Source organism: Homo sapiens, chromosome 19 (genome assembly GCF_000001405.40).
Source record: "Homo sapiens chromosome 19, GRCh38.p14 Primary Assembly".
NCBI lineage: Eukaryota > Metazoa > Chordata > Mammalia > Primates > Hominidae > Homo > Homo sapiens.
Window position 1 is genome coordinate 19,000,335 of NC_000019.10, and position 12,913 is coordinate 19,013,247.

Genomic DNA, 12,913 nt, shown 5'->3' on the forward strand with positions numbered 1-12,913 from the left:
CTTATTCTCCCTCTCTTTGACCTGCTTCTCTTTGCCCACAGCATCCCCAGGACTGCCTCATCCATTTCTCTTTCACTGTTGGCCCTGCTTGCTGCTGCCTCCAGGTGGACAGTCGGGACCTGGCACGTAGGAGGTGCTGACCGCACACACCACGCTCTGCTTACTAGCAGATTAGTGAACTCTCTTCACCACCCTTCCAGTCTACTAAGCTTGTAAGTTTTTATGTTTTATTTTTTAAGGAGACCAGGAGGAGACATAGGTCTCACTATGTTGCCCAGGCTGGCCTCAAACTCCTGGGCTCAAGTGATCCCCCTGTCTTGGCCTCCCAAAGCACTGGGATTACAGGCGTGAATCAGTGCACCTGGATAACTTGAACTTTTTTTTTTTTTTTGAGACAGGCTCTCAGTCTGTCGCCCAAGCTGGGGTGCAGTGGTGCAATCAGCTCACTGCAGCCACGACCTCTCAGGCCCAAATGATCCTTCCACCTCAGCCTCCAGAGTAGCTGGGACTACAGGCATGCACCACCATGCCCAACTAATTTTTGTATTTTTTGCAGAGACAGGGTTTTGCCTATTGCCCAGGCTGGTCTTAAACTCTTGGACTCAAGCGATCTGCCCACTTTGGCCTCCTAAACTGCTGGGATCACAAGTGTAAGACACCCAATCGGCCTTAGCTTGAACTTCTTTTTTTTTTTTTTTTGAGACGGAGTCTCACTCTGTCGCCCAGGCTGGAGTGCAGTGGCGCGATCTCGGCTCACTGCAAGCTCTGCCTCCCAGATTCATGCCATTCTCCTGCCTCAGCCTCCTGAGTGGCTGGGACTACAGGCGCCTGCCACCATGCCCGGCTAATTTTTTGTATTTTTAGTAGAGACGGGGTTTCATCGTGTTAGCCAGGATGGTCTCGATCTCCTGACCTTGTGATCCACCCGCCCTCTGCCTCCCAAAGTGCTGGGATTACAGGCGTGAGCCACCACACCTGGCCTAGCTTGAACTTCTTAAGGGCCAAGACATTATCTCGTTTATCTCTCAAATCCCACTGCATCCATTACAGGGATCTCAACTATCCATTACACAGATGAATCACTAGTCTATGCTTTGGACAAAGGCAAAACAGTTTTCAAAAGCCCTCCCAAGAGAAAAGTCTCTGTTGTGTTTTACACATTAATACCTCAGTTTGAAATGTTAGCACAGCTTAATCACAAGCTGCAGCATCCTTTGGAACTCCAACAAATTCTAACCAACTATACTTTGAGTGAGGACTACCAATGATTACGCTCACCTTCTTTTTGGACATGGGACGACCCCGAGGCCTGTCATAGGCAATTCGAACTGGTTCATGGACTAGAAGACAAAAGAAAGAGACACATACACATACATGTGCTTTTCCTAAATTACTTAGAGACTGAAGATCTTGCAGTCTATTTTGGCTAACAGTTCTCTGATGACAGAAGGTGTCTTAGGCTCTGCATGGCAGCTGCTGAGCCCCAGCTCCTCTCAAGAATGAACATGTATGACCCCTGGAGTGAGCAGAGACGGGACACGCTCAGGGTAGGCAGCTTGGGCCATAATGAAGGGTTCACTGAGCGGTGCCTTGCTTTTGGAAAGTCTATTCAAACCTAAGAGTCCCCACATTTATAACAAAAGATCCAATACATGGATTATTTTCCATGACTACAGAAATATATTTTGCTTCAACAAAATATTTGTGATACTGTGCCCTCCTAGTTTATCTGCAGCTAATTCACTGGGAAATAATTAAAGTCTGGCCAGGCGCAGTGGCTCATGCCTGTAATCCCATCACTTTGGGAGGCCGAGATGGGCGGATCACCCGAGGTTAGGAGTTCGAGACCAGCCTGGCCAGCATGGCGAAACCCCGTCTCTACTAAAAGTACAAAAACTAGCCAGGCGTGGTGGCGGGAGCCTGCAATCCCAGCTATTCAGGAGGCTGAGGCAGGAGAATAACTTGAACCCGGGAGGCAGAGGTTGTAGTGAGCCGAGATTGTGCCACTGCACTCCAGCCTGGGCGACAAGAACAAGAGTCCATCTCAAAAAAAAAAAAAGAATTAAAGTCTGCCTAAAACTTTCTAGTGAAAAACAACCATGCTTCTCATATAGAGAACCACATCATATCATTTTATTCTATTTTTTATGAAAGGGAGATTAGCAAGTCTGTTTTTTTTTTTTTTTTTTTTTTTTTGAGACACAGTTTCGCTCTTGTTGCCCAGGCTGGAGTGCAGTGGTGTGATCTCAGCTCACTGCAACCTTCACCTCCCAGGTTCAAGCGATTCTCCAGCCTCAGCCTCCCGAGTAGCTGGGATTTCAGGAATGCGTCACCACGCCTCGCTAATTCTGTATTTTTAGTAGAGATGGGATATCTCCATGTTGGTCAGGCTGGTCTCAAACTCCCGACCAAAGGCGATCCTCCCGCCTTGGCCTCCCAGAGTGCTGGGATTACAGGTGTGAGCCAGCACACCCGGCGCAGGTCTGGTTTTTATCTCATCAACTACCCAAAGAACTGAGAGCTTCTAATGCAGAAATAAAAAACTCCACCTCCCCCCAAGAAGAGCATACATAACAAGCACTCTGATACACTACCTGCCATCCGTGACAAGTTTAATTATTTACTTCATTTTTTTTACATTAATTTTTTTTTCTTGTAAAGATTAGGTCTGGCCATCTTGCCCAGGCTGGTCTCAAGCTCCCGGGCTCAAGCGATCCTCTTGCCTCAGTCCCGCTAAGCTGGGATTACAGGCACGAGCCACTGCGCCTGGCCCCATGAGAAGTTTTGAAGGATGGTAAAGGTTATAGTAGAATGGTTAGCATTTCACTGCAACACCAAATTTTTCAAACACAAAACATGAGGACTATTCCAAAGCAGGAAAAACCATAAGGCCACTGTCACATGTAAATGTGACTGTCTGAATGATGTAGAACACACAGGTGACTGTTTAACACAGTCCCACAATGGGGCACCATTCACTACAACTTCACACATAGGTTTTGCAGCAGAAGTCCCATGTGAAAGCACGGTCCAGGCCTGACTGTGGGGAGACAGCTTGGAGGGCATTGGGGGCACAGGAGTCATCTGGGCCACGGCGTGCCCATCAAAAGGCCACATGCGATGCAATTCTATGTACTGACAGACTAGGAAAGATAGAATACCTGGGGCTTGGAAAACAGTCAGTGGTTGCTGAATCGGGCAGGGGACTGCAATGGGACAAGAGACCCGTTCTGGGAACAGGCTTCAGCTCTGCTGTACTGGTGGGTTCTCGCCTCTGCACAGTCAACAAAATTCAAATGGTCCACTTGAAAAGGGTGCGTTTCACTGCTGGTAAATTATACCTCAAGAACCCGGAACCTCCCCACAGGAGAGCAGGAGATGGCCTCTCATGGCCGAGGCAGGTCCCACTGACCACTGCCTGGGACCACCCCTGCTCTGTTCCCATCTCACTGTCATGACATGAAGCAGCTTATCAGCACCCTGGGCCTTCCAGGGGCTCAGAAGGGCCCCCAGCTGACAAAGTCACAGGCAGGAAAACAGCTGAGATGACCCAGGCCCATCCCCTCCACAGTTGGGGATGCCCCGACCTGAATCCAGGCAATCAGGGAAATGTCCAGCAGCAAGTAGAGTGCCAGAAGCCACAGGGTAGCAAGGAAACATGTCCTTAGAGCAATGCCTTCAGACCACTGGGAAACATGAGTGTCGGCTCACATTTTGGAGTGGTGCACAAAACTCTTTTGGATTAAAATGTCTCCACCTGTCTCTTCTAACTCTCACAGCCCACCAACCAAGAACTGTGCTAGAGGCAACTGTGCCGACAGGCGGGCACTCACCTTTTGGCTCCTGGATGAGACACACTCTCTTGGGAGCTGGAATCATGCCAACCTTCAATGACTTGCTGCTGATCCTCTTCCGAGGGAAGCAGGTACCTGAGGAGGCCTGTGACAAGGCAGGTGCTCCAGCCAGGTCGTCCTCGGCAGCCTCGCCGGGAAGGCCGTCGGCAGGGGTGCTGCCCTCAGACTTGCCCGCCCCTCCAGGAGCGGGGGCCTCCTCTCCCCCATCCTCATCGTCCTCGTCCTCCTCCTCAGGCATCACCTCTGGGCTCTCCAGCTCAGCCTCCCGCGGAGGGGGCTCGTCTTCAAACTCTGCTTCCCCTTCCATGAGGTCCACGGGGCTCTCCTGAGAACCCGTGGTGTCACCACCACCAGTGTGAAGGTTGTGCGGAGATGACGTGAAACAAATTGATGGACATAGTTCAAACACTTTCTTTCGATAGAATTTGAAAGCAGAACTATTTTGGTCATGTAGAAACCTGGGGCACAGAGGAAATACATTGGGTAACCAGATGGAATCTCTCAACATTTTTATTTGCTGAAACTGCTGGGATTGATCCAAGGAAGGTGGAGGTGGGACAAGGGAAAGAATAACCTGACCAGTCTCTACGCGGCTATGGCTTGATGGTGCAGCCTCTCAATGATAGAAAATTTGAGGAGTACTAGTAACTTAATAAGGAGCTAGAATTCAAGAAGCCTAACTGCTTTCCAGGGGACAGAGGCGGACGAACAAGGTATGCAGGGCTTGGGAAAATGCTGGAATAGAGATCTGGCTTGAGACCCATCTCACCCTTTCTGGTTACATCACTGGCCTCTCTGGGCCTCCATGTGCCCATTTTGACTCTGGTTCCTCCCAGGTATGAGAAGCATGGAGCGATGCCAGGAGGAGCTGCACAGTTACTGCTGGAACATGTGCACCATGGAACCGTAAGGTGCCCCCCGAGGAGGCTCCTCACCCCTAGCACTTCCCGCTCTGGGGCCTGCAGTCCACCTACATGGGCGTGGAGATGAGGCCTCTCTGTGCCTCAGGGGTCTGGTGGCCACCTCGACTTGTAACCACAGCTATGAAGCTGTGGCTGGTATGAGAAACTTGAAACACTCCCGAAAGCACCAAAGTCCACTTGGACCAAAGGAAAAATGGCCCTCGTAAGGCAACTCAACCTCATAAATGTGCCAAGTCCCCCCAGTTAGCATATTAATATATCCCAATAAAATCCCATTCTGAATCAGGGCAAGATGGTTCTAAAGTTCATAAAGAAAAATAATATGTAAGAGTATCTGGGAAAACTCTGAACAAGACTCATAAGGGGTTCCAGCCCCACCAAGCACTATAAAATGCCCCAAAGCCTCTAGAGTTAAACAGCATAGTAGTCCATAAGGCAGACCAAAGGAACAGAATAGAAAGACCAGAAACCCAGCATTTGATTAAGGTAACCTCTCAAACTACTACAAAAAAGGGGTGGGTCTTTCAAAGAATGGTATTGGAAAAGCTGGACGGCTTTATAATTATTATTACACATTTTTAGAGATGGGGTCTCACTCTGTCGTCCAGGCTAGAGTGCAGTGGTGTGATCACAGCTCACTGCAGCCTCAAACTCCTGGGCTCAAGAAATCTTCCTACATCAGCCACCCAAGTAGTTAGGACCACAGGCAAATGCCACTATACCAGGCTAACAAACACACACACACACACACACACACACACACACACACACACACACACACCACACACACACACCACACACACATACAACTAAATATCAGCAGAAACAAATGAATCTGGGCCGGGCATGGTGGCTCATGCCTCCCAGCACATTTTGGGAGGCTGAGGCAGGCAGATCACCTGAGGTCAGGAATCCAAGACTAGCCTGGCCAACATGGTGAAACCCCGTCTCTACTAAAAATACAAAAATTAGCTGGGTGACACCTGTAATCCCAGCTACTTGGGAATCTGAGGCAGGAGAATCGCTTGAACCCGAGAGGCGGAGGTTGCAGTGAGCTGAGATCACACCACTGCACTCCAGCTTGGGCGACAGAGTGAAATTCCGTCTCAAAAATAAATAAATAAATAAAACGGATTGTATGACAACTTTATAACATAACCACACCCACAAAATGAATTAACTCAATAAGCTTGAGCACATTAGAATTAAATTTTTTCTAAAGGCAAAAGAAACACAAAGTCATCTTGGCCCATTTACAAGCATGGCTGGATAGCGTCCAACACCTTGCCCAGTATTGTGGTCAGGATCCAGGGCTCTCCTTCCAGGGAAGGACAGGACAGAGTACTCTGAAGGACACTGCTCAGAAAAGGCTGTCACAGATGGGGAGGAATCACCCAAAACCCAACAAGTACTACAGCCCAAGTACCCAGGCTAATGCAAAATTCTCCTTTAAACTGTACTTTTCATTGAAAAAAAAGAAAGTGAAAAAGAAAAAAGGACTCATGGGATGCCCCCAGCTGCCCTGCACTGAGCTGTCCTCCTTATCCAACCCTGCCAGAGGAAATCCCACATACACAGTGGACAGGTCCGACCCCGAGGTCTACAGGGCCCAGCAGCTCCCCAAGGCCACTACTGCCTGTAAAAGGCAAAACCTGACTGTAAGCCTGGTCAGGCTTCCCGTCTGTAGGTGGTCAGTGCCCCACAAGGCAGGTGGTACCTTAGTGCAGGACCCAGTCATAAGCCAAGGCTGCGGAGGGGAGTAGGGCTTGGCTTGTGCAATCAGGTCCCAAGCAAGTTGAAAGAGTATGTTCTGTCACCACTGAATCCCATAAATGCTCTGAGAAATGCACGTTTTCAACTGTAATTTTAACTGGATGAAGGCATGACTGTCCAACAAGCTAGGACCAGCACGAGGAGTTGAGAGCCCCCTCAGTAGGGTTCTGGCTCAGTAATGGGAAGATGGGTGCCTCCTACCGGCAGCCTTTCTCTGGAGGGGACATCTCATGTCACCCCGGGGAAAAACCCCAGGGGCAGTGCTGGCTCCTCACCCAGGTTTTCTTGCCTATGGGCTGTGTGCTTTTGAGCTGAGCTCCACCTATCCAAGGAATGGAGAGGGCAAAGGTACCTGCTCCCAGCATGAGCACGCCACCTTATCCCTGTGTAGAAGTGCCTGCTGTCAGACCTGGGCAAGGGCTGACTATCACTACTATCATGCAGTGAGCAGCAAATCCTCACCTCTCTCCCCTCCCCTGGCCAACTCCTATTTAGCCTTTGGATGCAGATTAAATGTCCCTCTGGGGAGGTTTTTCCTGATGCCCGAGATGAAGGCAGGTCCCCTAGAACAGATTTTTTTTTTTTGAGATGGAGTTTCACTCTTGTTGCCCAGGCTGGAGTGCAATGGCGCGATCTCGGCTCACTGCAACCTCCGCCTCCCAGGTTCAAGCAATTCTCCTGCCTCAGCCTCCCCCGAGTAGCTGGGATTACAGGCACCTGCCACTACACCCGGCTAATTTTTTTTATTTTTAGTATAGAGACGGGGTTTCACTATGTTGGCAAGGCTGGTCTCAAATGCCTGACCTCATGATCCACCCGCCTCAGCCTCCCAAAGTGCGGGGATTACAAGCATGAGCCATTGCACCTAGCCTTTTTTTTTTTTTTTTTTTTTGGAGATGAAGTCTCGCTCTGTTGCCCAGGCTGGAATGCAGTGGCTCAATCTCAGCTCACTGAAACCTCCGCCTCCCGGGTTTAAGCGATTCTCATGCCTCAGCCTCCCAAGCAGCTGGGATTACAGGTGCTTGCCACCATGCCCGGCTAATTTTTGTATTTTTGTAGAGATGGGGTTTTAGCATGGTGGCCAGGCTGGTCTCGAACTCCTGAACTCGGGTGATTAGAACAGATCTTTCTCCCTTAGGCCCCTGGCTCAGCTGAAGTGAAGTCATGACTTACTCCTGGTATAACCCCCATAGTAGGAATGCATTGGCCAGGCTGTGGGCTGGCTCAGGACATGCTTGTGGCGTGAACACACTCAAATCTAAAGGGTGTAATGGCCAGTTGCAGTGGAGCACACCTGTGGTCCCAGCTACTCTGGAGGCTGAAACAGGAGGATCACTTGAGCCCAGGAATTCAAATCCAGCCTAAGCAACATCCTTAGACTTTGTCTCTCTGAGAAAGAAAAAGGTGTGATGAGACCCGGGGGGGTACGTACCACAGGTCAGGGTTATCGGTGCTGTTTTCTATGCTGAATTGTTCGATCTCTGGTCCCACCTGAGCAACAAATCTAGCCAGTTTCTCTGCAGTCTCCATTGTCTTCATGTCAACTACAAAACATAAAGCACCTGTCAGGCATGACTCCTGAGCTGCTGCTCCCCGTGTAAACACTGCAGGGTTGTGGAGGCTGATTATAAAGATGGCCTGCATGTCCCCTCCCTGTAGCCTTGCCCTTCGTCACATGTGGACCCTTTGTCACCAAGAAGTGAACTCTGTGTATCCCCACCTTGAATCAGGGCTGGTCCTGGGACTCACATCAGCTATAGAATGTGGTGGAAAAGCCCATTGCCAGTTCCAAGCCTGGGCCTTGGAGGACTTGAGTACTTCCACTGTCTCTCCTGAAGCCCCAACCCCAATTGCCAGGTGAACAAACATGGGCTGGCTGCTGGGGGGATGACAGGCATGTGGCCCAGCCACACCATCATCTCAGCTGACAGCCTGGACACCTGCCACTGACCGCAGACATGTGTGGGCTAGCTCAGCAGATGACCCAGCCACTGGCAAATTCACAATACCGGACGCCTCCTGGTTGGTTTGTTTGGTTTTTTTTTGAGATGGAGTCTTGCTCTGTCGCCCAGGCTGGAGTGCAGTGGTGAGATCTTGGCTCAATGCAACCTCCGCCTCCCGGGTTCAAGCGATTCTCCTAGCTCAGCCTCCCGAGTAGCTGGGACTACAGGCATGTGCCACCACGCCCAGCTAATTTTTTGTATTTTTAGTAGAGATCGGGTTTCACCATGTTGCCCAGGCTGGTTGCGAACTCCTGAGCTCAGGCAATCCACCCGCCTTGGCCTCCCAAAGTGCTGGGATTACAAGTGTGAGCCACCACGCCCAGCTGATGCCTCCTGTTTTAAGCCACAGTTTGGAACGGCTCACGACACAGCAACACCTAAATAATGCAGCAGTTGTGGACACTTTTTTGCTCTCTCCTTCCCACTTAGTGCTTAGGAAGCACTGGCCAGAGAGCAGGCCTGTGGTACAGAGAGAAAGAAACAGCTAAGGTGACAGAAGAAACAGAAGGGGTGAAGTTAGTCGATTCGGAGGAAGCAGTGCAGGTCAGCGAACCCCAAGAACAGGAACTGTGGAGACCCTGGGGATGAGGAGGCGCAATGAGAACAAGGCAGTCCCGAAGACTATCAAGGGAGGCCAGGATATAGCAGGACATGGGATCCCAAGTTCAGGCAATGCACCGCCCACGGCCCCAGCAGCAGGACCCTGTCGGGGAGCACGAAGGCATGGGGCAGCACCTCATACCAGCTCCGCTCTCAGAAGAGGAGGAGGGAGCTGCAGGACTCGCATGCAGCTCTCTCAAGAAAGCAAGAGAGAAAGCGCCAACATGTACACTTGTCCTGGCCAGGTCCCTAGAGCTTTTATCCACTGCCTTGCCTAGATTGCAGGCCCCCCCAATTCTAAAGAGACCCTGGAGATGGGAGAGTAGGGACTGGGGCCCAGAGGAGGGGGACAGGAGTGAGCACCCACTGTCAGCAGATGGGCAGGGAGAAGAGGTCTGAGGTGCTTCAGAGATGTCCACTCCTGCTGGCTTGGGGGATGGGCCTGAGGCTTCTAAGCTGGGGTCCTGAGGAGAAGGTCCAACTGGGTCTGGCGGGCAGTCCTTGGCAGCATCATTTCTGTCTGGCAGGGATGGTTTTGCCTGTGAGAGGCCTGGAGCCTGCCGGCCGTGGTGTTTCAGCCTGGTGCCTGAGGATAGGAGGGTCTGGGTCCCGGTGGTCGCTCTCCTCGCCTTCCAGCCCCGGAGCCCTTGAGCACGGAGGAGCCCCCGCCGCTGCCACGGAAGGAGTTTCTTCTTGAGGTTGCGGACAGCCCGGGAGTACAGCATGGCCCTCACTGCACAGTCTGCTGAGGTCGGCTTCTGGTCGGCTCCTCGCAAGTTCTCGCTCATCCGCTGCATTTCTGCCAACTTCAGCTTGTAATATTTATACTCCAGACTATTTTCATCAGACAAAAACCTAGATAACAAAACAAGCATAACGGGACATTTATGAAAACACCACCAGGTCCCAAATTGTTCCTTCAAACACAAACCCTTTCTAAGTGGCCAACTCCTCACTGTCCTCTCCTGTCTCAGAGGCTCTGCCTGGCTCTACTGAGGACCCAGAGCTAGGCCCAAGACAGCTGCCCTGCTAAGAGTGACCACAGGGCAATCGGGAGTTTGAACTGAGTTCCTCCTTGATTTCCATCAGCAGCAGCCGTGAGGGAGCTCCCAGCTCTTGATGGCCTGGAAACACAAACCAGTCACCTTGGAGCCATAGCACCCTGGCAGGCAGAATTGACACCTTTTAAATGGCCCAGCCAGGATGAGTGCTCGGTGAGCTTTTGACTGCATCAAGGAAAGTGTGATGTGAACCACAAGAGAACATTAACCAAGGAGCCTGCGGCCCAGGTGTGAAATCTTATGACCCAGTCATCATGATGAGAACAGTAAAGAGAAGGTTGAGCTACATGTACTAACAGAAAAATATTCAGCTGGGCGTGGTGGCTCACACCTGTAATCCCAGCACTTTGAGAGGCTGAGGCGGGAGGATTGCTTGAGCCCAGGAGTTCAAGACCAGCCTGGGCAACAAAACAAGATCCCATTTCCACAAAATAAAAAAATTAGCCAGGGTGGTGGTGCATGCCTATAGTCCCAGCTACTCTGGAGGCTAAGGTGGGAGGATCACTTGAGCCCAGGAAGTCGAGAGGCTGTGGTGAGCTGTGATTGCACCACTGCACTCCAGTCTGGGCAACAGAGCAAGACCCTATCTTTAAAAAAAAAAAAAACCTTCTCCTTCTAGTGTCTTTACTTTTTTCATCATTTTCCTTCTAGCTTCATGAGTTGATTACAGCTCACCGCAGCCTCGACCTTCTGGGTTCAGGTGATCCTCCCACCTCAGCCTCCCCAGTAGCTGGGACTACAGGCGCGCACCACCACGCCTGGCTAATTTTTGTGTTTTTGGTTGAGAGGACATTTCACCATGTTGCCTAGGCTGATCTCAAACTCTTGGGCTCAAGGTAGCCATACGCCTCAGCCTCTCAAAGTGCTGGGATTACAGGTGTGAGCCACTGCACCTGGCCCACTATTTCTAATAAAGTCACCTGAAGTCACTCTTTCTCTTAAGTATTTTTATGACTGCATCTGGTATATAATGTTCTTCTTGCCACTTCCTTCTAAATTGCTTCTAATTTCAGCTATGATTACCCTTCACTCAAAAGTTATTCAGAAACATGTTTTATTTTGGTTGTTGCTGGTTTCTAGTTTGCTGTATTGGCATAATGTGGCCCACGTGAATTTCCTGGGTGTGCTGTGATTTTCTCTGTGATTTCATACATAACGAACTTTTAAGATGGGCGTGGTGGCTCACGCCTGTAATCCCAGCACTTTGGGAGGCGGAAGCAGGTGGGTCGCTTGAGCCCAGGAGTTCAAGACCAGTCTGGGCAACATGGCGAAACCCCATCTCTTTAAAAATAAATAAATAAATAACCACCCCACAACAAACATAACAGACTTTTGTGAATATTTGATTTCAGTTTGTGTTAAAGAAGAATATTGCTTAGTAAGTATGGCAGTATTTCAGGTGGCTTTCAGATTGTTTGATATTAAGTAGCGACATATCAGTTATTAGATGAGGTTCCAGATTACCAGTGACAAGCCAACTAGAAGTAAGGTGGCTGTGTGTTGCACAGCATTGGCAGCACTGTGTGATGTGGCATGTCCCTGGCAGGCAGCTCCATACACAAGCTCCTGCTGACACTGTTAGCCAGTTGAGGTCTGTCTGGACCTGACAAAACGACTGAGTACCGGCTCCACTGCTGCCCTGGCACTCTGTTGGGCTAACGGTGGCATCCTGCAAGATCATGCCCTAATAAGCAATAGCGCTCAATTAAGAGAATGCTGACCAACATGGGCACTCTGGTTCTCAAGTCAAACACAGCCCCAGCAAGGCAACTCCTCATCAAGGGCAGAGCGCAGAATCAGGGCCAGGTGACCTGACTGCCCCAGTCACTCATGGCTCTGATGGCTTTCCTTGTTCCTGGATGGTTCTGATGCCAAGTGCAGTCCGAGGATGTCAGTCCCAAATGCATCTCCCAAGTTCCAGTGGAACATAACATCAAGAACAGAGAACACTCAACAAGCCAGTCTGCTGGCTTCAAATCTCAGCATAGCCACTTATTAGCTGGGAACCTTTCTGTGCCTCAGTTTCTCCATCTGTAAGACAGGGAAGATGATAAGCAGTAGCTACTTCATCATACAGCTGTGAGGCCTGCGTTATAAGCTTTTCACTAGGAGGCAAGTGCTATGAAAACTGCCTAGTAGTCATTAACCGCTCAACAAATATTAGCAGATTGTCTCTGTTTATGCTCATTTCCTGTGTTATAAAATCTTCCACAACCTTATTTGGATTACGTCGTCTACGCATTTCAGAGAAACATTAATGTCTCCTACCATGGTTTTGGATTCATCCAATTCCTCTTATCATGGTTTTGGACTTAAATGATTTTTTTTTTTTTGAGACGGAGTCTCGCTCTGTCACCCAGGCTGGAGTGCAGTGGCGCAATCTCGGATCACTGCAACCTCTGCCTCCTGGATTCAAGTGATTCTCCAGCCTCATCCTCCCGAGTAGCTGGGATTATAGGCACCCGCCACCACACCCAGCTAATTTTCGAATTTTTTTTAGCAGAGATGGGGTTTCACCATGTTGGCCAGGCTGGTCTTGAACTCCTGATCTCAGGTGATCTGCTCACCTTGGCCTCCCAAAGTGCTGGGATTACAGGCATGAGCCACCGCACCCAGCTCTGGACTTAAATGATTTCTAAAGGTTGTTTATTTACATGGCTCAAAGCTATGTAGTGCAGGCACCAAGATTCACAATCTAT

General features: G+C 50.0%; 1 protein-coding gene across 40 annotated transcripts in view; it reads right to left on the reverse strand.

Moving 5' to 3' along the window:
* SUGP2 (SURP and G-patch domain containing 2) overlaps positions 1-12,913 on the reverse strand; it is a 42,958-nt gene that overhangs the window by 9,448 nt on the left and 20,597 nt on the right. For 37 of the 40 annotated variants that reach the window (XR_430124.5, XR_001753576.3, XR_007066515.1 and 34 more), the window contains exons 5-8: positions 9,521-10,008; positions 7,983-8,094; positions 3,834-4,312; positions 1,279-1,340 (exon numbers count right to left, since the gene is read on the reverse strand). Coding sequence is in view for 13 of the 40 variants with exons in the window: in NM_001321698.1 (NP_001308627.1) it covers positions 1,279-1,340; positions 3,834-4,312; positions 7,983-8,094; positions 9,521-10,008 (1,141 nt within the window). In the remaining 27 variants the exon portion in view is untranslated. Of the gene's footprint in view, positions 1-1,278; positions 1,341-3,161; positions 3,275-3,833; positions 4,313-7,982; positions 8,095-9,520; positions 10,009-12,913 lie in introns of those variants that run through there. The other 3 variants (XM_047438025.1, XM_047438026.1, NR_147915.2) reach the window with 2 other exon arrangements.